This window comes from Homo sapiens, chromosome 13, assembly GCF_000001405.40.
Source record: "Homo sapiens chromosome 13, GRCh38.p14 Primary Assembly".
Classification (NCBI taxonomy): domain Eukaryota; kingdom Metazoa; phylum Chordata; class Mammalia; order Primates; family Hominidae; genus Homo; species Homo sapiens.
In genome coordinates this window covers 49,319,726-49,346,762 of record NC_000013.11, presented here as the reverse complement: position 1 = coordinate 49,346,762, position 27,037 = coordinate 49,319,726, and the positions used below count along the sequence as shown (strand labels likewise).

Sequence of the window (27,037 nt, the reverse complement as noted above, 5' to 3'; positions counted from 1 at the left end):
ATTTTCCACATCTGAAATGAAGAAAATCATCCCTTTTTCACGGACTTGTGAAGATCAGAAACCGTATTTGCAAAGTGCTCGGTACACTCCCCAGCACAGTCAGCCCTCTAAACGGCAGCTGTCGCTGGCTCCTCAGCCTTTTATGTCCCTGCAATTAAGTGTCTCTCTCACTCTACCCCAAGTTTCTCTCAAGCAGTATTCATTAAAAATATAGATATCAGATTTTTCAGCATAATATACTATGCAAAACTTAGGCCTCTCAAAACAGAATTGTTAGGAGGTAGGATGAAAGAGTACACTATTTGAATTAAGGTTTTTAAATTCTAAATTCTTTGGAGTTTGAACTTTATTTTCCTTCACAATTTTCTGTCTTTTCCTTCTTGGGTAGGATCCTAGCTGTTTTTTTTGTGGTTTCTTTTTTTTTTTTTCACTCAGTTATGTGATCTATAATGCAGCAATTATATTTGTCTATGTATTATGTGTACATAAGCCTGTGTGTATGTATATGTGGTTTGTATATACATTTATTATGTACATAAATTTGAGGGTATATCCATGTATCAATCCCATTACACACTGGAGTGGAAATGTGGGCGTGAGAGAGGGAATGTGTGCATTGTTTATTGGCTGTATCCATGATATATATATATATATATATATATCTAGCATATATATATATATATATATCTAGCATATATATATATGCTGGAGGAATTCTACCCCACCCTATTATGGTTTCCTAATACTGGATTTTCAAGCTGTTTCAAGGTTTTCTTGCCTTGGAATTTGAAAGTGTTGGTTTTAACCTAACTCCCTCCTGATCCCTTTTTCTTTGGGGTAACACTAATGTATGACACAACCTTTCAAGGCAGCACTGATCTGCAACCTGCTCTTTTTGTTGCCACTGGGGCTGTGTGCGCTGGGCCTGCAGTGTGGGGAACCCAGTCCTCACTTTCAAGGCTGACGATAGTTGAAGCAGGTAGAGAACTCCCATGGGTGCAGCAATCCACAGTGTCTGCTGCAGCCCATAGAGGGGGCTCCCTCTGCCCTGGTTCAGCTCAGAAAATTTCTATTACTGCTCATGGGGTTTCTATGATGTTAGGGGAGGGATGCTTGAAAGCATGACACCAATATTATCCTTTAAAAAAAAGAGTAGGGACCTCAAAGGATCTTGTGGAACTACCTTACTCTTTCAAGGGTCCCCTGATGCAGGAACTAGTTTGAATCAAGACCTTTGACGGGGTGGGAACGGAACCCCTGTAAATGGTTTTCCATTTTAGAACTTCAGTTCCAGAGTGGTAATGAATGCTCTGCTCCACTGGGGGGGAAAAACACCATGTTTCCACTGATAGGCCCAGTGGTTGATCAAGTTGTGTGATAGCAATAGGGAATTAAGAGCCACTCTTATTATTTTTGAATTTGAAAATTATAGTACACAATGCTTTAAATATTTTACTTTTTAAAAAATTAAAGTAGAAATAAGTGGGTTTTATTATGGTTGTTATCTGCCTTTTCTTTGTGAAGTTATGTTGTGTACCTTCTATATGCTTTTAGGAAATTTTAATTAAATATGTATTAAAAGAATTTATTTTGGAAAACTTTAAAATTCTTGTTATGTTTTTAATTAAATTTTTCATAGCACCTAGACAGGGCATTTAGCCTCTAAGCATATAAAAGGGATTAAGTGAGGCTTGTTTTCCTACAACATTAAAGTGAGTTAAGGATATAATTTAGGTATGAGTTGAAGACAGTCAAATGTTTCTTCATGCTTTGTTCAGTTTTCTGCAAGTTTATATCTGCCATAAGATAGGGCTACTCATCTTCAATTTTGAAAGGATGGATTGTGCTACTTAGTAACTTGCACAACACCTTACATCCCATTAACCCAAGAGCAGGAACAATACTGGTTTGACACTGCTAAATGTCAGTCCTACGCTTCCAGTATCCGAGGCGCCCATTTTAAAAGTGGTTAAGGCACTTTGGGAGGCCGAGGCAGGTGGATCACAAAGTCAGGAGATCGAGACCATCCTGGCTAACACGGTGAAACCCGTCTCTGCTAAAAATACAAAAACAAAAAGCCGGATGTGGTGGCGGGCGCCTGTAGTCCCAGCTACTCAGGAGGCTGAGGCAGGAGAATCGCTTGAACCCGGGAGGCAGAGCTTGCAGTGAGCTGAGATCATGCCACTGCACTCCAGCCTGGGTGACATAGTGAGACTCCATCTCAAAAAAAAAAAAAAAAAATTAACTCATCTCAAGTTCCATTTGTTTCACCAGTTAAATTATTTCTATCATAAATCTAACAATATGAATTTGAAACACTAGGTTTAACACCAGAGTTTTTCTTTTCTAACATGAAACAAACTTGTATTTCACATCTTAGGCTAAGCTAGGAATGGAAATAATTTTGTGGCGCAAATGAAAATGTTCTTCTGCAACTTTTATATGTTCTTAAACCTTAGAAAAGACACATTTGTAATATTAATAGCTATAACAGTTTTGTTTCACTTGGTTTTTCTTTTTCTAGGATTTACTAACCAGACATAAAGTGTTGGTAGCAGACTTCTTAGAACAAAATTACGACACTGTAAGTAGAAATCATTTTTAAAGACTTTCCCACTTTCTCTCTCCCTCCCTTTTAGATCTATGAGCAATTGCCCCTGTGAATTATCCACAAGAGAAATCAGTCGCATTCAACCATACTCCTGATTTGTCTACCTGGAAACCAGGTCATCAGGAAACTTTATGGAAAATTGAGATGGCAGGAGGTCAGGGCTTTCACCTTTTTCACATCTCTTCGTGTTGTGCTCTGAAGCTCAATAAATGACTAGCACCTGCTTGCTTTGATGTTGCAAATCAAAGGAGGCAGTAGGTAACTCCAAAAGGAAGAGAACCCCACCCTCACTAAAGTACATCATTTTACTTGGTTGATAATTAGTCTTACTTAGTAGTAAAAATACCAGAAATATTTTTTATCTTGCAACTCCCTTCCCTGACAGTGAATCCAACTCATCCTTTTGAGATTTGGTTGAAATATGACTCTTTAGAAAGCTTTCCCTAATCCTACCCCTCCCAAAACATGCATCCTTTCTCTTTCTCTCTCTCTTTCTGTCTCTGTCTCTCTCCCCTCTCCTCTCTCCTCTCTCTTCTCCCTCCTCTCCCTCCTCTCCCCTTCTCTCTTTCTTCTCTCTCTCTCTGGCTCCCTCTTATTTTTCACCTTGTATTATTATGGTGTGTCTGTATCTTTCTGGCTGGCCCTTGCACCCCCTAAGAGGCAGGAATCTTATCTGCAGGACACAGGGTTAAGAGCACAGTATGGACTTTAGAGTCTTCGTGCTTGCTTGGCTTCAAGACCTGCCTCCTTAGTGGCCCTGGGCAAGTTACTACACCCACTGCAAAATGAACATAGTAATAATACCTGAATCATAGGGTTGTTGAGGGAGTTTGACGGGATTTAAAGTTTTCAGCACAGTACCAGAGTAAGCACTCAGTATTAGTTTTTAATCGTTGTTACTTGTTTTCCTAATGCCTAATGCAGTGTCATACATTTGGTGGTGACAGATCCATCCAAAAGCAACGATACTTTTACTAAATGTGTAAGCAATAGAAGCAGCATTATACAGTAAAATATAGCTCAAACCTAGAAGGAAAACTTTGTATGTTTTGTTCTAGTGTTGGTTCAGATGCTCTACCTCAGTGCTGTCCAGTAGAAATATAATGCCAGCCAGAAATGAGAGCCACTATGTAACTTAAAATTTTCTAGTTAGCCACACAAAGAGGTAAAAAGAAACAGGTGAAATTAATTTTAATAATATACATCTATTTAACCCAACATACGAAAAATGTTATTTTAATGTACAATCAATATGGAAAATGATCATCGCTTCTCGGTCTTTTGGCTAAGATGAAGTGAAAAATGATCAAGCTATTTTACATCCTTTTTTCATGCTGAGTGTTTGAGATCTGATGTGTATTTTACACTTACAGCACATCTCAGTTTGGACTAGCCACATTTCAAGTGCTCAGTAGCCGCGTATGGCCCTATGTTGGACAGCATGCATCTAAACTAGGACTTAGGGAAGGGGAGTCTCTGATCCTCATCCTAGCAACAGCCACAGTTATTTTTTACTGGGATTTTTGGCATTTTTACATGTGTTAGTTAATGTTACTACTCTGTCTCCATCACCCAGTCTAGTGCCTGACACCTAACAGCAAGAATGTAATCTGCTGTCTTAAAGCAGCACTTAACTATTTGTATTATTGATGCCTAAACCAAGAAGTTCTAAATATTTATATATATGGTATGATGAATGGATTTTTTTTGTCTTCATCTATTAAAAGCAAAAAACAATTTCATGTGTATATGATATTTATGGTAGTAATAAGTAAATTAAGGTAAAGTATCTTTATTGATTGAAATCTTTAGTATTAAATTAAATTACATGTGCTTACAAAAAGAAGTACATTTTTGATGATTACTATGACTTTATGCCTTCCCAACAGTATGCAGTATAGTTGGGCACATAATAGGCATATGGACCAGTGGTAGCAAACAAATATTAATAATAGTCCTCAAGGAGTCTCTGAATCATTTATATCCTAGACAAAGGTTGCAACATACTCCTGAATACTGGGAAGGTGTGGCCTACTCTGCCTATCAATAGTATATCTTCACACATTCAAATCACAAATATTTAACTACTTCTCTTTTAATTATAAATAAAATAAATTTTATTTTTGCCAGTTGTCCTTCAATTTAAGATTAGGAATTAGCAATATAATTATAAAATCAAAAGTGATTTTTATGTCCTCATGTTATAAAGGAAATAGCCACAGAATCAACTAGAGTATTTGTTTTAAGTGTAAAATGTGAGGGGAGGATGATTTTTTAAATTGATACAAAATAATTATACATGTTTATGGGGTACATCAGATATGTTGATATATGCATACAATTTGTAACGATCACATCAGGGTAATCAGGATGCCCGTCACCTCAAATATTTATCGTTTCTTTGTGTTGGGAACTTTCCAAATCTTCTCTTCTAGCTATTTTGAAATATACAGTAAATTATTAACTATAGTCACCCTACTGTGCTGTTGAATACTAGAACTTATTTCTTCTAACTGTATTTTTATACCTGTTAACCAGTCTCTCTTCATCTTCCCTCCCTCCTACCTTCCCCAGCCTCTGATAACCTCATTCTACTGCAAGGAGAATAATTTTTATTGCTAGAGGCATCCCAAAATGTATAGACTGAAAGAGGCGGGTGGATCACGAGGTCAGGAGTTCAAGACCAACCTGGCCAAAATGGTGAAACCTTGTCTCTAATAAAAATACAAAAATTAGCCAGATGTGGTGGCGGGTGCCTGTAATCCCATCTACTCGGGAGGCTGAGGCAGAGAATTGCTTGAACCCGGGAGGCGGAGGTTGCAGTGAGCTGAGATCACATCACAGCACTCCAGCCTTGGCATCAGAGCGAGACTTGGTCTCAAAAAAAAAAAGAAAAAGAAAAAGAAAATTGTCTATTTTTGAATTTAGGAAATGAACTGTTAATATATAGTTTGGTTGTTCAGTAACTATATATGCTAGATGGAATGTTAAGGAAAGATTCATTAGATGTCACATTTATAAGAAATAAAATTTTTAAAAGGCTAAGATAACGTGGATAAATCTACAATATCAACTAATTACTATTTTTTCCTATAGAATGAATGAGGTAAATGTGTTGTGCAGTAATGCTTTGTGTTCAGGTATAATACATGACAGTTTGAGAGACTAATAAATTCATTCTCTTTGACTCCTTTTTTACCTAATTTTGTTTTTACATCCATATATCACTTCTTGTGTAATTTAGTAATTTCACAGCTGCTGAAGCTCCTGCATTGGCCTGAATGCGAGCTCTGAGAACTCATGCCCCTTCAAACCTTTCAGACTCTTTCAGCTGATATTTCTTTAGCAGTATGCCATGAAACTGGAGCACATGATGCATGACTCTAAAGTAATAAAGCTGGTGGACTCGGGAGTAGGTCATACCACATACATGTATTTGCATTTTATATTTACTATTCAAATTTATCACAAGGCTTGTCTGATGCATTTAATGATCCACAAAATTCTCCTTGTGTTTCAGGATAGAATAAATAAGTCATTCATATTAAAGAGTATAATTACTGTGATTTTAATGTGAGCTACACCTTTGTATTTTTACTTTTCACTTTATTCTCTATCGGTGATTGTCAGCATGCACAGCTTGCCCTCATTACACAGCGGCACACACTCTCCCCTCGCACTTGACTCTCCGAGGGCTAGGAGTTTGTCACCCTCTTCAGTTCCTGATCTCTTGTCCTCCGTCCTGGCTGCGCTCATTCCTCCCACTTCAGTGCTCTATGAGCTGTGTGCCCACACCTGATGGAAGTGAATGCTGAACCTCCCCAGATGCCAGCACTCTGTGTTAAACTGAAGGGCTAGGCCATGGTTGGTGACCATGTTAGGAAAGAAGACTTCGTGCACCAGTGTCCCCAGCTTCCGGTGAGAGTGAAGTGCTCCAGAGAGACTAGTTGGGCCGTCATGCAACAAAGGTTGCCTCGTTCTTTATCTGTTTATGCAGTGAATTGAACAGTCTGATTCTTTATGGCTTGCCAAGTGAAGCCTTAAGTGTATTTAATATTTTCCCAAATTGTGGACCCATAGCCACCAGCAAGGCTACTTACATAAAGATTTCTTTAAAATGGCATAAAATGAGTTCTCTTGCAACTTTTACTAGAAGTTTTATTCAAAATGATTTATTGGAAGGACTCAAAATTACTCAGTTTTTATCTAATTTGCAGAACTAAAATAAAATAGGGAAGGATGTCTCTTGTAATTCTTGACCTCCCTGTCCCCCAGTGTCTTCACATGTAAAGAAGGATGGTAAAATGGCCAGAAGTTGGGAATTTGCTCCTGAAAAAGAAAGCAAGCCAGCCTAATACGGAGAATCCACTGCTGCTTTTACACTCTAATGTGTATTTTCTTTTCATTAGATTTTTGAAGACTATGAGAAATTGCTTCAGTCTGAGAATTATGTTACTAAGAGACAGTCTTTAAAGGTAATATCAAATTTCTTTAAGTCAGTGTCCCCGTAAGTTTATATCTCATTAGCAAATGACGGGTCTATTAGTATATGAGTAAACACAGAAAAATTAAAATATCCTTTTTTTAAATAACTTGAGAAGTATTTACTATATTTTATGTTATGACTGTATTTTATAGCAAAATAATGTAAGTGTCCTGTCCTGCTTTTGGAAGTAACAATATAAGTACATGATAAGTAAAATTTAGAATATTTCTGCTGAGGCCAGGCATCTTGGCTTACGCCTGTAATCCCAGCACTTTGGGAGGCCGAAGTGGGCGGATCACCTGAGGTCAGGAGTTCGAGACCAGCCTGGCCAACATGGCAAAACCCCATCTCTACTAAAAATACAAAAATTAGCTGGGCGTGGTGGTGGGCTCCTGTAATCTCAGCTACTCGGGAGGCTGAGGCAGGAGAATCGCTTGAACCTGGGAGGTGGAGGTTGCAGTGAGCCAAGATCGTGCCAATGTACTCCAGCCTGGGCAACAAGAGCGGAACTCCATCTCAAAAAAAAAAAAAAAAAAAAAAGACATGTAAAATGCAAAAATTAAACCTTCCCTCTAAGTTTTAAGCACAGCAATTGATAAATTCTTAATATCTGTATTTTTGAGTATAAAATAGCTTTTTACTATCAAATTATGTTTATATAGTTGAAATGTTATGGGGCTTCTGTTTTATGGGAAGCATTTATCTCCCAGATTTGTAACATATTTTCCTAAAGAATTTTTTATGCTATATTTCATCACCAGGTCCCATTCCCTGAGCATTCACGACAGTCAGTGTTTTCCTGCAGGTTGCTTAAAATACTTCCACCACTTAACATGACATGTTCACATGATATTTACGGGAGAGATTCTGAAATATGAAACATGGTCATTCCCTAAGAATTAGAAGAGAAATGTTTTTTAAAAATCACCTCTAACAAACAGATATGTCAGAAGACTACATGATCGCATATACGAAATTTTGCTTTTCTTTTTTACAGTTTTTTTTTCTTTTATTATTATACTTTAAGTTTTAGGGTACATGTGCACATTGTGCAGGTTAGTTACATATGTATACACGTGCCATGCTGTTGCACTGCACCCACTAACTCGTCATCTAGCATTAGGTATATCTCCCAATGCTATCCCTACCCCCTCCCCCCACCCCACAACAGTCCCCAGAGTGTGATGTTCCCCTTCCTGTGTCCATGTGATCTCATTGTTCAATTCCCACCTATGAGTGAGAATATGCGGTGTTTGGTTTTTTGTTCTTGCGATAGTTTACTGAGAATGATGATTTCCAATTTCATCCATGTCCCTACAAAGGACATGAACTCACCATTTTTTATGGCTGCATAGTATTCCATGGTGTATATGTGCCACATTTTCTTAATCCAGTCTATCATTGTTGGACATTTGGGTTGGTTCCAAGTCTTTGCTATTGTGAATAATGCCGCAGTAAACATACGTGTGCATGTGTCTTTATAGCAGCATGATTTATAGTCCTTTGGGTATATACCGAAATTTTGCTTTTCTAAAATACTGCCAGGATTACACTGAAACAGAATCTGGCAAGAGATTAAAAGACGATGCAGCTAGCTGGAAATGAAAATAAAGCCAATTCTCAATTACCCGTAAATAGCATAGTTTGATGAATTATTGGAGAAGGAGGTGTGAGGGAGGTAATAAGACATTCCATTTAGTTAACAAATATTTATGTGCTCATTCTCCAGACATATGATGACAGCCAAGAACAGCTCTGGGCCTCACATTCTGTTGTTGGAAAACAGACAATAGACAAATAAACAAATAAATACATAGTTTTCAGATGGTTTTAAGTACTAAAAAGAAGAGTAGGGAAAGGAGACAGAAAGCGGCGACTTGGGAGATAGGCGTGTGTGTGTGTGTGTGTGTGTGTGTGTGTGTGTGTGTGTGTGCGCCAGAGCAGCTAGACGATCAGTGAAGTCCTTGATGAGTTGATCTTTAAACAGAGGGCTAAATTTATGGAAAATTAAGATGGCTCTGATAAGGGTGTTTTTGTGTGTATGTGTGTGTTGTGTGAAACCAAGTTACATCTGCTACTTGAGGTTATGCACCTATTAACTGGCTGTGGAAATGACAGGGAACCCAACAGAGTAAGACCACATCCATCTATAAGTGGCCCTCTCTCCCACAGTGGAATGGTGCCTGGAAGCAGCCATGTGGCCAGGGGGAGGTGGGAGAGCCCCTGAGGGGAGGGAGATGTGGGCTGGAGTTGTGTCTCTGTCCTTCAGATCCCTCTCAGAATCCCACAAAAAGAATGTTTTCAGCAGATGATAAAACTGACTGTTTTTAGTGCAGCAACTCATATGATGGTCCAGCTTGCTAAACATCACACTTGTATTGTCATTTTTTCCTATTTTTTCTAGGTTTGGGATATAGTGTCACACACTTGTGTTATTTTTACATGTCAAGATGATGGCATTCATAGAACAATGCATTTGCTTCTAAATTTGGAGTATAATTTTAAACTAAGACAATAAAGTCAATCTGTTTTGTATCACATTTTTTGTCAATTTACTTTGCCCACGATCCTGCATCAGCCATGACCTGGTTTCCTTTATATTTGTACCCTCACTGGGTGTTAATGGGGAGGCCATTTTTCAGCCAGCCATCCAGCACTTTTTATTGAGTTTCCCCTTTGTGTAGAAACTTATACCAGGAGACCCATCTAGAAAAAAAGCCCAGTAGTGATGAGACCAAACTGTGTGTGGAACTGACCTTTGGGCAGAGAGTGACTTCAGCGCTGTGTTCTCCCATGTCCAGAAAGCTTGCTAAGAGCAGATGAAGATAAGGTTGTATTCTCTTTATACAGCTGCATACGTAAAGAACAGAACTCGTTATTTGTAGGGCTCCACAAGGATAGCCAAATGAGGTAAGCTTGTCCATGGTACAACGAGTAGTGGCCCTGGAAGGAAGATGGCAATTGGAGTAGTAAACAGAGGTGACAGTGCTCTGAAGGTCCAGCATATAGGAAGTTGCTCATAAATTCTCCAAATCCTTCCTTTTTTTCAATGGGAGTCTATCAGATACTGGATCAAAATCGAGAGATTTATGTGAACTAAGGTGATTGAACCAAATTTGGAGGAAGAAAGCTGTTTGTATTTCCTACTTATTTGCAGATGCCTTAGCCTATTCACGAGGCATCTTTCCTGTTTTTCATTAATTCACCCAGACATACCATTTGGCTGCTATTCCTCCTAAAATCTTTACAGTTAGGCATCTCATGGATATCTGATTTATAGCATGGTAAAACCAAGAATTGATAGGACACTGGAAAAAAATGCCTGACAAAATGCAGATAAATTACCTAAGAATGCAGAAAGTATTAAAATGGTTACTGGAGAGCTGGTTTTTTTTAATGTTAGATTATAGGAAGAGATGTTGCCAAAATGGTTTTGCATCACTCTGTTCAAGCAAACAAAAAGGTAGACGACTGTGAAATAAGCTCATATATAAACATAGAGCTCATTAAATATTGTTTACTCTTTTTTTTTTTTTTTGCTAGAAAAACATTCTGGAAGCTCCACTGATGCAATTTTGGTTTTTCCTTTTGGTAATTAGATCTGTGGTAGCAGTATATTCTATTTTGACACAACTGTGTTTCTGTATAAATGGATTCTGTAATACTTTTTACATAGATGTTTCATAATTGCAGGAAACAAGAGAGGTTAGATTATTATATAGCAACTTTGTAAGTAATAAACTGTCTTAAGTACTAGGCTATTTTCTGATTCCAAAGTAGTTGCTACCTGCTGCCTTTTATTAATCATATTCTAAATTTTCCTGCACTGCTTAATTCCTGGTGTCAATAAAAAATAATTAACAGAGAAATTCCTTTCCATCATGTGACAGAGCTTTGGAATTTTTTCCTTATCTTCTGCAGAGGCCTGGCATTTAATTACCAGCAAGAAAGATTATAATTCAAAAGAAGCTTGGTGGAAACTGGGGAATTTTTTGGGCTCTGGTCAATTTCATTAAAACACTTAGGTTTCTAAAAAACTTATTTCCACTTGCTGCATGGCTTAACTATGTACTATGAGGCATACAAAATAAGAAATTTAAAGAAGTAAAATATGTGTGTTTCCCATTTACTTGGTATAGTATTGCTTTATAGTGCTTTGTATTATTCTGGAATGCAGCATTTTGTCATTGTTAATATTAAAATAGATTAACATTTAATGGCTAAAAGATTTAGTGTTGAATTAACACAATTAATTGTTTCAGAAAAATTGTGAAATTCTATTAGCAGAGGATAGATTGGATAGAATTTATATGTAGGTATCCCCAGGTAATAAAAATTGAAGTGACCTAATCTGAACTTAACTCATAAATATAACTTCAACAAATGTTTATTGAGTGTGTGTGTGTAAATTTTCAAAAATGAAATTTTCCTTTTGCTGAAGCCTTTTAACATGAGTGTATATGATATATATGTGTCTATTCAGTATTTGATTATTTTTGTATATATCTTTAGAAGATAAGTAAGGCTCTGGACAGGCTTACAACCCAGAAGTTTTTTAGTTTTTGTTTTTTCTTTTTGGAGGGTCTGGAAGCCCTACCTTTGAAATATAAGCATCTAGGAAGATAATACTATCTCTCTGTCACAAGGAGAGTTTAACCTAGGTGCCCTTTTCCAACTATTTGCTTGTCAGAGAGATAAGAGAAGTTTTATTATTCAGATAAATAGCTAAAACAAATGGTCACCTTAATTGCTAGGTGCATTAGGGGGAACCATGAAAGAGTGCACAGAAATGGTAGTCAGGTCCTCCCCCAGTGGACAGGTTACCCTTCATCTTGAGGATATATATATGTAATGGATTGTAGCTTCTTGACTGTAATAAGGGATAGTTTTGTCTGTTTGCAATCTCTTTTTCAGAGATGAGTTACTGTATTGTGCTCTGGATATGTGGGTAGGACTTTTATTTCCCCAACAATACCCATGCACATCACACAGTTAGGTTGTAAGGGGATTTGAAACACGCCCTTATGGAGCTTATTCTTTAAACAGGGTCACAAATAACTCTGCACTACAAGGCAAAGCAAAGTCAACTGTAGAGAAGAGGAAAGGCTTTCCCGAAGACGATGTCTGAGCTGGTTCTGAGAGGATGGGCCAGGTTTGAACAGGCAGAGAAGAGGTGAAAGTGTTTCTCAAGATTTTGGAGCTGGGGAAGTAAAGCCACAGAGACAGGAGAGTGGGGAAGATGGAGGAAGGGAGCTGAGGAAAGGAAGCAGGAGAAATGATTCCACATCACAGAGGCTGGGAACGGCATCTTAATGAGTTACTTTTTTCTAAATCTATGGGAATCTAGGAATTTGCTTGTTTATTCGTTCACTTTCTAATCTAAGTGGAATTGGTAACAAATACTGATTTTTGGAAGATTTCTTTGACAAAATGTGCAGAATGGATCGGATTAGGTGAGGACTGAAGGAGAGACCATTTTGCATGCTGTGGTAGTAGGTCAGCTGAAAGGTAGTGAGGGTTTGAATGAGATTACTGGCTGTGAACATTGAATGAAAGGTGTTCAAGAAACACTTAAAAACAGAAAATTGGTAGGTCTTAGATGGAGATTTGATGTGAGGAGCAAGGGAAAGAAAGGAGCTAAGGAAGACCAATTCTCTTCCCAACCGGAGGAGGGCAGCTCCTGGTGCCATTAACAAAGAGAAGAAAGGGAGTTGGTTTTAGAGACGCTAAGTGTGACAGTCCAGCAGTGTTCAAGTGCGACTGCCCAGTGGGCAGTTAGAAATGTGGGTCTAGAGGCCGGGTGTGGTGGCTCACACCTGTAATCCCAGCATTTTGAGAGGCCGAGGCGGATGGATCACCAGGTCAGGAGATCGAGACCATCCTGGCTAACATGGTGAAACCCCGTCTCTACTAAAAATACTAAAAAATTAGCCGGGCATGGTGGCAGGTGGCTGTAGTCTCAGCTACTCGGGAGGCTGAGGCGGGAGAATGGCATGAACCTGGGAGGTGGAGCTTGCAGTGAGCCGAGATCGCGCCACTGCACTCCAGCCTGGGCGACAGAGTGACACTCTGTCTCAAAAAAAAAAAAAAAAAAAAAGAAAGAAAGAAAGAAATGTGGGTCTAGAGTTTAGGAAAGAAGCGGAGACTAGAAATGTAGATTTGGGAGACATCTTCCTAGATGTTACAGTTGAACCCATGGGTATAGATGAGACTGTTGGGAGATAAAAGATAGCAGATCCAAGTATACAGCTTGGAAAATTGCTGCATAAGTAGTGCAAAAGGCAAGGGAGCCATTGAAGAGGTAGCAAGGGAACAAGCTGCACAAGGTAGGAAACCAGGAGCAAAGAAAGTTTCCAGAAGGTGTTAGGTTAACGTTAGAAGCTGCAGAAAGATGAAGGAGGTTGCAGATTAACAGTTTGACTACGTGGTTGCTATTCCATGTGTATGAGAATAACTAGTGACCAGCCAACATCCAACAGGGGTCATCCTTTTTTCAGGTTTGACAAACGTTATTTTCATGCATTAAAATAACCTCAGGTTGTATACTTCTTTCATGTTAAATACACAAAAGATACATCACAGGCAAGGTGGTGGTTTACTGGCAGCCAGATGCTTGCACACATCTGGGACTCCTTTGATAGACAGTTGGCCCTCAGTTTGATGTGCGCTTTTCTTCCCATCCAGGATTTCTGTAACCATGTAATGATGTGTTACTCCCCTGAGGCCTTCAGAAAAAGTCCAGTAAATAGGACAATTGAAAACTAAACATATCTTCTATATAAAGTTATATTACAGTATGTTTCAGCCCCCTGGCTGCTGAAGCTTTAGGAATTGCTACAGCAGCCAGGGGGCTATAATTCTGTTCTCCAGAATTATGGTGAGAACAAAAAGTTTCTAAGATAGAGCAACAATACATTCAGCCATGTTGCTAGAGGGTCTTCAACTATTCTTACTTTGGGTATTTTTATTTTGTTTTAGGGTAATGCTGTATTTGGGGAACTATCAATTTGTCACCAAAAAATGTTTTGCTTTGCTTTTTAATAAAAACTTGCTGCACTTACTAAATTTGATACAGATTTGGGGTCAATTTTTTTTCTGACTTTATATCAGGTTTTATAATAAAAGTCAGGGGAAATGTAAGAGTCATTTAACAAACTGTCTTAATAGTGAACTCCTAGCATACATTTATGCAGGTAAAGAAGGTATCATTATGGTACCAATTTTGTTATTACTTCTACCTGAATGCCTATGGAGCAATACATTAGTGCGAAGCAAGATAATTAAAGTGAGTATTGAAAACCATAAATTTATTTCTGCCTAGCTCTAGGTGAGCTGCAGCAAAGACCAACTAAAAAAAGGTACTAAGCACTGACATCAGCAAAGCAGTGTGAAAAAATTGCTCAATAACTATTGCTTTTATGCCTGTGCTTTGAGATGCACTTAAGGACACTCTAATTTTTTTCACAACACCATTCTTACTCACATTTATATTTTGTTTTTCAGTGAGAAGACGTGAGCTATATTTTGAATCAGGTGGCTCTGAGATTACAGCTTTGGTTTTGTGTTTTCCTCTAGCTGCTAGGGGAGCTGATCCTGGACCGTCACAACTTTGCCATCATGACAAAGTATATCAGCAAGCCGGAGAACCTGAAACTCATGATGAACCTCCTTCGGGATAAAAGTCCCAACATCCAGTTTGAAGCCTTTCATGTTTTTAAGGTAAAAAGTACAAGCTCTGGAAACAATGTTGTAGGCAATTTTTTTTCCAGTTCCAAATGGCAAACTCCCTGCTCTTTACTCTCCTTCATACTTGAAAGAAAATGAAATAGGCAGTCTTTGTGTTTTGCATGATTTAGATGAAATTTCAGAGTTATCTTAATGAATGCCCATTCATAAAGGTTTGCTGACTAATCCATACATCTAAATATTTTTATTTTTTCACGGAGAAAATGCATGATACTCTTTCCCAAAACTTCTAAAACAATCAGTGATTGAGCTAGATCCCAAACCCTGAGTGTCGGCCTTGAATGCTTTGCTTCCTACAAGCACTGTCTCTTCGAACTTTAAATGACGCCCTGAAGACACAGTCGGGTACTACTCACATTATTAATATTATTATTTTTTTACAATGTATTTTGTTATGATAGAAAAGTAACCCCTTTAGACAATAGTGGTTTTTTTGTTTTTTGTTTTTTGTTTTGAGATGGAGTCTCACTCTGTTGCCCAGGCTGGAGTGCAGTGGTGCGATCTCGGCTCACTGCAACCTCTGCCTCCCAGGTTAAAGCGATTCTCCTCCCTCAACCTCCTGAGTAGCTGGGACTGCAGGTGTGTGCCACCACTCCTGGCTAATTTTTTTTTTATTTTTAGTAAAAGCGATTTTCACCGTGTTAGCCAGGGTGGTCTTGATCTCCTGACCTCGTGATCCGCCCTCCTCGGCCTCCCAAAGAGCTGGGATTACAGGCATGAGCCACTGTGCCTGGCCCTACAATAGATTTTTTTAACAGGTGGGGTAGGTGGGAGAATTCTATTTGTAATTCTGTATTCCCAGCCTAACTATTGTAAATAGTTTAGTACATTTTATTTTTCAGTGCACACATTCCAGAGTTTTTTCTACAGCTGTATTCACAGTGTACCAACAACTGATATCCTAATTTTATTACTTAATGCTATACCATAAGTAACCATTTTCATTATTGCTATAAATAGTTTTTAGAGCCAGTATATTTCTCACCATCATAGTGTATCATTGGGTATATTTCTTCTAGTTTAATAGTCCTATGTCATTGATATTTAGGTTACTTTCATTTTTTCCTACTCTAAGTAATGCTACAATGTGCATTTTATGCATCCAGCTAATTTTTTTAATATTTAAGATTCTTATCTTCTGATAGATACCTAGAGTGGAAATAAGCATTCAGAGAGTTCCAGATTTTTTTGGTTCTTTTTTCTAATAAATAAAAAATAAATAATAAATTTATAATAAATAAAAAAATAAATATTTTTCTAAATAAAAAATAAATTTTATTTATTTTTTAAATTCAGAGACAGGGTCTCGCTCTGTTGCCCAGGCTAGAGTGCAGTGGTGTGATCATGGCTTACTGCAGCCTCAAATTCCTAGGCTCAAGCAATTCTCCCACCTCAGCCTTCTAAGTAGCTGGGACTATAGACACGTGCCACCTCGCCCAGCTAAGTTTTTTATTTTTTGAAGAAACAGGGTCTTGCTGTGTTGCCCAGGCTGGTCTCAAAATCTTAGGCTCAAGTGATCTTCCTGCCTCAGCCTCTAAGTGCTGGGATTGTAAATGAACACAAGTTGGATTGCTCACCACACGCAGAGTCCAGTTAACAAGAGGCAGGTCTGGTAAAAAGAAAGTTACTTTATTAGCCAAAAGTAATAATAGGAAAGTGGCCAGATTCCCATCCAACGCAACTACTTTGAATTTTAGGGGCAAGGCAAGGTTTTAAAAAGAGAAAACATGATATGGAAGGCATGTAAAAATTATGCTGAGTACAGTGTCTGTATTTCTTGTTCTGGTAGCTGTCTTGGGTCCCAGTCCAGGTGGAAAGCAGGCTGGCATCGTCTCAACGATGGCTGGGTTGTTGACTAGCCACCTTGAGGTTATCTCTGGAATTTTGCAGCTGGGTCTCCAAGCTTGGTCTGTCTGACTCAAGATTCACGTTTAGCCCCTGGAACTTCTAAGTAGGCAGATAATTAGATACCAGCATGCAGTTAGATAAATGTGAAGGGAGTATAGACAGTGAGAAAGGGGTGGGTCGTGGAGTCTATTTTAAGACTAAGGGAAAACACTTCTGCAGTTTGCTTCAAGGTTACATTTTTAAACCCAAGAGAAAGGGGAAAAATGTTTTAAATGCACTTTGAAGTTAAGCTGCCTAGTTACAGGATTATAGGTGTGAACCATGGCACCTGATCTCAGTTTTTATAAAGAATGTTTAGTGATAGAATTTGTAAGTCCATAAATGGGAGGCATGGCAGTTTATAAGGTAATTGTTGCTTTGAAAAGTAAGACATTTTTAGTTGATCTTTCAGCCACCAGATATTTATTACATCATTATATATATATATATATATATATATATATATATATATATATATATATATATATTTTTTTTTTTAATTGAAGAGATATGTAGGACAAGGTATGGGGAAAGGGGCATGGAGCTTCCATGCCTTCCCTGAGCAGCCACCCCTCAGGAGTCTCCATGTGTTCGGCTCTCTGGAAGCTCCAGCCCAGATATTTATTGTCCAGAAGCCCATTAGAGCAGTTAAAATCCTCAACTAATTTATAAATTTTATTCAGTTCCATTCAAAATCCCAACTGGACTTTCCCTGGAACTTGACAAGCTGATTCTAAAATTTGTGTGGTAGAGCAATAGCCTAGGATTATCTATGGCAATTTTGAAGAAGGAAGTAATCTTCTCTACCAGATATTAAGACTTGTTATGGATTTAGAGTAAATGAAAACAGCATTGTATTGCCTTAGAAGCTGATAAATAGAACAGCAAAACAGAGTAGAGGGCCCAGAAATAAACCTATATAAATCCGAAACTTGATATTTGATCATGGAGGGATTATAAACCAGTGAAGAAAGGGTTAAATATTCAATAAATGTTTCTTGGATAATGGGTTGTCTGTGTAGAGAATCTTACCCTGCAGTATACACAGAAATAAGTTCTAGATAAAGATCTGCACTAGAAAAGCAATTTTTTTTAACTTTTAGAAGAGAAAATAAGAGGCTGTCTATATAATATTGGGGTAGGAAGAATTCCTTTAAAAAGAAATAAAAAGTCACAAAACATAATAGAAATTTTTCTTGAGACAGGGTCTCACTATGTTGCCCAGGCTGGAGTGCAGTAGTGTGATCATGGCTTACTGCAGCCCTGACCTCTCGGCCTCAAGCAGTTCTCCTGCCTCAGCCTCCTGAGTAGCTGGGATTGTAGGCCTGCCCTTACCATGCCCAACTAATTCTATTTTTATTATTTGCAGTGATGAGGTCTCGCTGTTTTACCTAGGCTGGTCTCAAACTCCTGGGCTCAAGTGATCCTCCTGCCTTGGCCTCTATTATGGCTGGGTATGAACCACCATACCCAGCCATAATAGAAAATATTTAAAAATGTGACCACACTAAAATTTTAAACTTCTGTTCAAAAAAGAAATCATAAACTGAAAAGACAGGATAGAATGTGACATATATAACTGACAAGTCTTTAAGAAAAAGACAAATAACAGAAAAATTGGTAAAAGATACAAGTTGGTAGTTTACAGATGAGGAAACCTGATTGGCCAATAAATAGGTGTTCTTCTTACTTGTAATTGTGGAAATGGCCATTAAAATATCAATGAGATACCACTTTATGTTCTTCATATTGGCGAAAATGTCCAACCATATCAGATTTTTGTAGGATTGGACAGCAGTGGGAGCTGTCATACACTGTGTAAATTGGTGTAATCACTTTGGAGAACAGTTTAGCAAAATAAACTCTTGAAGCTGTGGATACCCTTCAACTCTGAAATCCATTTCTAAGCAGTTTCTTAGAGACACTCTTGGATGTGTGCATAAGGGGTTATGTACAGTAAATCCTCTCTTAAAGTCGTTGATAGGTGCTTGGAAGCAGACTTTAAACAAAACCATGTACATTACAGCAAGTCCTCGAATAACCATGTTTTGTTGTAAATTTGATGGAAAAATTGTTTGCCTTATCTGTTGTTTTGCTTAAAGTTACAATTTCTAAGAAGTTATCCACCTTAAATAAGGACTTACTGTGCAAAGATGTTTATTGCAACATTGTTTAAAATGGGAAAAGCCATACATGGGCACCAGTGGGAGACTGGGAAAATAAATTGTGCTACACAAATACAATAGCACATAATAATGGGTTAAAATAAATAGAGTTATGTGGATCGCTTTGCCTAATCTTAGAAACATTTTGTTGAGTGGAATGACCAAATATTTAAATATGTCATTTATTTAAAGTTTGAAAACATGCAAAAGAACACTAAGTGTGGATTCATATATATGCAGTTAGAGTCCAAAAACATGCATGGAATCCGGGCATGGTGGCTCATGCCCGTAATCCCAGAACTCTGGGAGGCGGAGGTGGGTGGATCACTTGAGGCCAGGAGTTTGAGACCAGCCTGGCCAACATGGCAAAACCCAGTCCCTACTAAAAACACAAAAATTAGCCAGGTGTGGTGGTGCATGCCTGTAGTCCCAGATACTCAGTGGGCTAGGGCAGGATTGTCACTTGAACCTGGGAAGCAGAGGTTGCAGTAAGCCGATATTGTGCCACTGCACTCCAGCCTGGGTGACTGAGCGAGACTCTGTCTCAAAAAAACAAACAAAATTGCAAAATGCATGGGAATGCCAAATGCCAAATTCAGGATAATGGTCATCTCAGGAGAAGAAGTAGGGAAGAGAATAAGCGATATCATACAGGAGTGTCCAATAGCCTTCAACTATATCTGTAATATTTTATTAAAAAAAAAATCTGAAGGCAAGTATGGCAAAAGATATTAGATTTTGATAGAGCCAATGGTGGGAATATGAAGTCTGATATGTTACTCTTGTACTCTTCCATGTGTTAGAATTATTTCATAAAAAGTTTCAAAAAAAAGAATGAAACAAAAATAGAGTGCTGTAGGCCTGGAAAATGCCTACACATTATAAAATGATAGGCCCTCTCAAGACCCTTGGACCGAAGGAATTGTAGAAGGCTGTGTATCATATCATTCAGCTCCCACAGAACTTTAAATGAGAATAAACTTCATATAATTTTGTTCAAAAATGCAGTATTATATATAGAAGGAAACAGTGGGTTGCAAAATAAAAATAACCTATTTCCATCCTCTGAGAAGATCAGAATTTGGGTCACCTAATCATTGGACAGGGTAGGTACATTTAAAAATAGTTGACCGCTTGTTTACTTGTATGTGTGTAACTTGGCCTGCCCCGTACCCCGGCTATGTTCCTTCCACTGAAGTATGAACTACATTGTTTACTTGCCAAAAATATTTTGTTATTTAGAAAAAAGTAACAGCTAAGTCCTAGGATTGTTTTCACATCGTTTAATTAATAGGTTTTTTTCCCCAGAGCACCTTCCGTAGGGTGCAAAGAATGTGGAACCCAGTCCTGAAAATGTCTTTGCTGGATTGTTAATGGCTGACTCTCATTAGCCTGCTAATAGGCTCAGCACGTGCTTCCTACTATTGGTGAGCAGGATAGTGTGGTGGGAAAGCCCCGATGGAGGTCAAGAGAGCAAGGTCTTTGTTCTGTCTCAGTTGCCAGCAGCCACTTTGGGCAAATCCACCTGGATGCATTTTTTCACTTGCAAAATGAAAGTGCTGAAGTGTAATTCTAAGATACTAGGTCAGGAGACTTTTGTCTCTGGTCCTGACTCTCCCAGAGATGTGCCCAATATGGATTGAGGGATACATTATGAGATGATCTTCTCCCTTTCCTTTCCCTGTTAACCTTGATAGCAAAGGGCCGTGTTGCCCCTTCCCACCAAACCATGTAAGGTGTAAGAAAATGGTCTGTGTCGTTTGCTCGCTCAGAGCTGCTGGAACTCAGGCATGGCCAGTGCCAAATATGGCACTAGTCTGTCACTCAGATCCTAGCATTTGGCTATAATAGCTATTCCCTTCAAAACAAGAAGTTCTGTCCCCAGCTTATTCCAGAATATAAAAGTCGGCTTGACAGTTCAGCCAAAAAAGTATGTAGAACAAGAATGAGAATAGTTTCCGTGTGGTCTTACTGAAAATAAGCAAAATTACAGATGAATTTAGTGAAGGACTAACCGTGAATTACTCACTTCCTTAAGGACCCACTTTTTAATATTATTTATTTATGTATTTATTTTTGAGATGGAATTTCACTCTTGTTGCCCAGGCTGGAGTGCAGTGGCATGATCTCGGCTCACCGCACCCTCCACCTCCCAGGTTCAAGTGATTCTCCTGTCTCAGCCTCCCGAGTAGCTGGTATTACAGGCATGTGCCACCACACCCAGCTAATTTTTGTATTTTTAGTACAGATGAGGTTTTGCCATGTTGGCCCGGCTGGTCTCAAACTCCCGACCTCAGGTGATCCGCCCGTCTCAGCCTCCCAAAGTGCTGGGATTACAGGCGTGAGCCACCACTCCCGGCCTAAGGACCCACTTTCTAGCACACCAAACTACTATGGTCATGGTGTACCAAATCTAACCGTACTCATGGAGAAAGCAATTGAGACCAAGTGAATTTAGGAATTGGCTATGAACTAGTTTAATAATGATAATTTCCCCTAAAATTGTAACAGCATATTGAAAAGTATACCAACTTCTGACTTAATGTCTCACCAACTGCTTTTAAATGGTGTCGAACATTCAGCTTTATCGTGTCCTCATTTGATCTTATTTTACCCTTTTGCATATTTAACAAAGAAGCCAAGGAGAAAATGTGGAAAGTCATAATTAAGGCCTCACTTCTCCTTTCTATTTTTAAAAAGACTTTCTTTAAAAATTCATAAAACAATCAACTCTATGTTTCTTTATAGAAAGGTTTGCAATGGGTATTTCTGGCAAACTTTAGCAACATCATCAAACAAGTATATAAATATGTTACTTACGGCTCTGTTTGATAATCCTGCTACTGAATGTTTATAATGTTGTTACCTACTTTACAAAATATTTTTGCAGTAGTATATAAAGAAAATGCAGCCTATACTTAATGTTTGTGAATATTACCTAGCATAAAAAAATTTAAGTTGCTTTTCCATGTAATTTTGGGATACATGTCTAGTTTCCTATGTAACTTCCACAATTATATGAAATTTGTAGATCCCAAAGATTTGATTTCCAAAATACCAAAGCAATTGCATTAACAATAATGTTAGTAACATTTTAACATTTTGTAGCGTACAGAACACTTTCCCTGACAAAATTCCATGTGATCCTCACCCCATCTGTGAAGTCAGGCAGATGTGGTGTCCGTTTCATTGGCGAGGAAACTGTCTGAGAGATTAAGTGACAAGCCTGAGCTCTCACAGACAAGGCCATCTTCTGCTTCCAAATCCCATGTTCTTTCTTCTACATAGCCCCACTTATATGTGGGGAACTGAGGCTGGTAAATTCGAAATGGCAAAGTGCCTCTTTGCCAGACCTTTGTATTTCGTAGAAGCGCTTTGCGAGCAGGAATTTTCCTCTGATTTGTTCTTTCTCTGCTCTATCTCCTAACAACTAGAAGGGTTTTTGGCACATAGTGGCTATTTAAATATTTAATTAATGTCTGAGTAAGTAAATTAATATGTATGTTCTTTTTTTAGAATTATTTTTATTTTTATTTATTTATTTTTTATTTGAGACAGAGTCTCGCTCTGTCACCCAGGCTTGAGTGCAGTGGTGTGATCTCGGCTCACTGCAACCTTTGCCTCCCAGGTTCAAGTGATTCTTCTGCCTCAGCCTCCCAAGTAGCTGGGATTACAGGCACCCACCACCACACCTGGCTAATTTTTTTTTTGTATTTTTAGTAGAGATGGGGTTTCACCAAGTTGGCCAACCTGTTCTCAAACTCCTGACCTCAAGTGATCTGCCTCCCTCGGCCTCCCAAAGTGCTGGGATTACAGACATGAGCCACCGCACCCAGCCAATATGTATGTTCTTAAAGGAAGGAAACTGAGAGCCTCTGTGCCTCTGAACCAGATAAGGATTGCCAGATAAAATACAAGATGCCCCATTCAATTTGAATTTGAGATGGCCAAAGTATAGCACTGCACGGAACATACTAACATTAAAAAAATTACTCATTGTTCATCTGAAACAGAATTTAATGGGGCATCCTCTCTTTCTGTTTACTAAATCTGGTAATGCTAACCTGGAGGGACTCATTTCAGTTTTCAAATATTGGGACAAGAACAGAGTCCTGGGTAGTAATATAGTATCTTTTAAAAAAATCTTTCTGACAAAATGTTTGACAAGCATCGTCATGTTAAATAGAACTATTCTGACTTGTGAATATATTTAGATCCTTCCTTCCTGGCATATTCCATTCAGAAAGCGAGAATGTGTAGGTCTGGAATCTATGTTTTGTGCAGGCGGCTTCCCCTGGGAAGTCCTGGTCCACATTTCCATCTGAGGCTTGGAGAATGAGGTCAGCAGCGTGTGTGCTCATCACATTCGCCAGACCTTCCGATGGAGCTGAAGGCCTCCGGGAAGAATAAGGATTCTGAATGGCTGTAGTATTTGTCCATTGTAGATGAAACCAGGAATAAGTGGCTAAAAGCTCAGTGATGAAAAGTACAGTATCACAGACCTGGGAAGGAAATAAAATCATTGAGAAAGTGATGGCACAAAGAGCAGAAAAGTCCAGGGTGAGCAAGTGATAGCAGAGTGAAGGCCCCTGATGCACAAAGCCAGTGTTCTCTTCAACTCGAGTCAGATTTCACCGGGATGAAGTTTATATTGACAGCTCTGGGAATCTTGAGGTTGGCCATGTCATCAGGTAAATGACTTCTCCTTAAGGATCCTAGGAAAGGAGACTGCACAGTTCCTCTGAGGTGCTTACCTGGAGGAGGGTATAGAGAATACAGAGAGGCTCAGCAGAGAGAAGCCACAGAAATGATTGAGCTATTTGGAAAACAAGACCTATGTGGAAAGATTTAAAAACACTTATGCACCAAAAAAGAAGACTGACAGAGAAATTTAACAGTGGTACTTGAGGGCAGAGCACATGTTTCATAGAATATCATAATGCAAGCCAACAGCAGCTATCTCAATAGGCTGCGGAGAGTGACTATAAATAAAACCAATTTTCTGAGAACGGGAGTTGTAGACACTGGAATAGGTCATTGAGGATGGTTATAGAATCACCTTTTCAGGGGATCTAATAGGAATCAATTCTTGTTTGCCAAGAATTACCAGTGGGTTGTGTCTGAAGTGGAAGGATGAATTAGCTAAGTTCCTGAGGTCCCTCCCAGTTACAAGAGTCTATTCTTTCTACAATTGACTGTGATAAAGTATATTAGAAGTATGAATTCCTCTTTTTACAGTATTACTAGAGGAAATACTAGTATACTCATTCTTTGGATGGAAGATAAAATATTTTACCCAAAATAGTTAAAATGAGCTATTGGGTTTAAATATGAATCTTAATAACTTGCATCTGCATAACAGTAAATATTTGGGAAAGCGATTACTGCTGTATGTGACACTGCAGTGATTTCACGTTGAAGGAAGTAGCAACTGTAATGAGCAGTCGCTGCGGGCCAGAAACTCTGCTAAACACTTTATAAGGACATACTCATTGAATACTTTCAAAACCCAATCCAATTTTGGCCACAAAAAGGATGTGGCATTCGTAACATGCTACAACATGGATTAACCTTAAAAACATTGTGCTACGTGAAAGAAGCTAGTCATAGAAACCACGTATTTTATTAGTCCATTTATATGAATGTCTAGAATACGGCAAAGCTCTAGGGGCAGAAAGTAGATTAGTGTTGCCTAGAGCTGGGAGCATGTTGGGGTGCGGAGGGGGCGGGCGACTGCTAATGGGTATAGGGTTTCTTTTTGGGATGATAAAAATGTTCTAAAATTGATTCTGGTGATGATTGCACAACTATGTGAATATACTGTAAAACATTAAAAAGTATACTTTAAATGAGTCAACTATATAGTCTGAATTTTAATAAAGCTGTTTTTAAGAAAAACTTTTTAAAAACTCCGTGAGATATAGGTAATCACTATGCTATATTCCTTTTACAAAACTGCCTACAGGCTTGAATTGTTCAGTTCAAATCAACGTGTTCTGTTACTCTAAGGAAGTGTCCAGACATCCACCTTGCATTTAGCTGTCTAAAGGCAACATTAAAATGCTGAAAAAACTTTGGAAAGAAGGCGTTCCCATTTCTTTGATCCACTAGTTTACTTAACAGTTTTAAAGATGAGAAACGTGATTATAGCTTGACCCCAAGCCCCTTTTCCCCTCCTTGCCCCTACCTTTAGATAAGTAGTTAAGAACATTTGAACGAAATAGTCGGTCACTGCCACACATGGAGAGGGCGAAGCTGGCAGCCATACTGTCGTGTAGTCACTAGCGGAAGCACCCAGCACAGCCCGGAAGGCGCACGCTGCACACACAGCCTAGTGGTCAGGGATGCTGCTTTAACTTCTCTCAGCTTCACCTGGAGATTGGGGAAAAATTGTATCTTCCTCCCAGAGCCGTTGTCAAGATAAAAGAATACAATTCGTATAAACTGTTTAGCACAATGCCCAGTGCATAGCAAGGATTCAGCAGATGATATCTATCTTTTTGAAATGGCGATCATCTCATGTAATGTAAGAAGAATCTACAAGCATTAAAAAACATATTGTTAAGGAAAAAGTAGTTTACAAAGTACTATGTACAGAATGCAAGCCCAGTTTTGTTTAAAATATTTCTACAAATAGTGACGTGCACAAGAAAAAAATGCTGCACATACATACACCAGATATTCACAGGGGTTATCTCTGGGTGGAGGAATTATGTCAGTGATTTTTTTACTTTCTTCTTTGTGCTTTTCTTTATTTCACTAGTTTTCCACATGTATCACTTGTGTAATCAGAGTGATGGTAAGAATGGTGGCAGTGAGGAGGAGGATTTCAGGAGATTCTAGAGGTTTTTAGAGCATCCTGTACTTTCAGGCTGCTGGCCTCCACCACCCTCACTTCCTTCCTGGGGCTTTTCTTCCTCCCTTGATGTGCAGTGGGGTCCAGTCTAATTCTGTCGTGGGCCCAGTGATGCTTATAGACACCCAACCAGCTTGCAGATTTAACAATCAAGTCCTTTCTTAAACAGGAAAAAGTTAATTGTCTCTGATCAGTACTAGCAAGTATTGTGTCAAAATATTCTAAATTATTACTCAGATGTGTAGTCATATGAATAAGGACATGGTTGCCTTATTTGACACTTCGATGGGGTGGGATTTTGCTTGGAGTAGCTTCCACATAACCGTAACAGGAGCATATACAGAGCATTCCAGGCTTGCAGCACGCATCAAAGGCAGTGAGGTCAGCAACGCAGAAGACTAACCTCCCCATACCTTGTCTGGCTCAATCCCTGTTGGCAAAATAGAATTTGAATGAAATTAATGGATATGTGTGTAAGATGTAGATATTTTATTTTCCATGAAATGCATTCAGTTTTAAAATGGAGAGTGCAATATTTTCAGTCTTCTAAACTAAAAATATTTGAGTTGTGGTCATGATATTTGCCTTCCTCTCACCACGCCTGAGAACTCCACAGATCACATCTCTCAGGCATGTTATGTAAACTGAGGGATACAGGCAATAAGGCGGCATTCTAAAAGGAGAAGTCCTGGGTAGTTTCATTTGTTTGGGGGTGGTTTGAAAATTACATTTTTTAAAAAACAGGGACAACAAAGACAACCAAAAAAATTTCTACCCTGGACATAATATTCAAAAGACTTGCTTCCATATACCTTGAATTAGAAGTGTGTTTCTTATCATCAGTGTGTTAATCTCAGGCCTTGACCAGTGTCCTGGCTGCCCCAAGGGAATCATGCACTATTGCATTAGCTGACTCCAGTCAGCAACTACTTTTAGAGGCGGCAGAGTTCAGAAGCCATAAAAAATAAAAACAAGAAAAAATTTAAAACCTGGGCACAAACTTAGCATTTTCCTTAGGTTTATGGTACAGTGAATGAATTCAGTGGAATTGAACCAGTGATGCCTGTCTGCAAATTCCAGTACATTTTACATTTATTTTGGTTTGCAACATCAGTTTGTCTATTATTTTGGTTTGCAACATCAGTTTGTCTATTATAGTTAATCTTTTTTTTTTTTTTTTTAAGAAAGAAAGACTGTCATGAGTTATTTATGTAGTCACCACAAAATGCCAGGCAATTTTTAGCTAAAACTTCACAGCAACTCCCTTGTAAACAAATGGTAACCAG

At 38.5% G+C, this 27,037-nt stretch overlaps 1 protein-coding gene across 12 annotated transcripts in view; it reads left to right on the top strand.

Moving 5' to 3' along the window:
• Positions 1 to 27,037, top strand: part of CAB39L (calcium binding protein 39 like) — a 135,415-nt gene that overhangs the window by 97,302 nt on the left and 11,076 nt on the right. For all 12 annotated transcript variants that reach the window (NM_001079670.3, NM_001287337.2, XM_047430698.1 and 9 more), the window contains 3 exons: positions 2,525 to 2,584; positions 7,021 to 7,086; positions 14,673 to 14,816. In NM_001079670.3, coding sequence (NP_001073138.1) covers positions 2,525 to 2,584; positions 7,021 to 7,086; positions 14,673 to 14,816 — 270 coding nt within the window. The remainder of the gene's footprint in view (positions 1 to 2,524; positions 2,585 to 7,020; positions 7,087 to 14,672; positions 14,817 to 27,037) is intronic.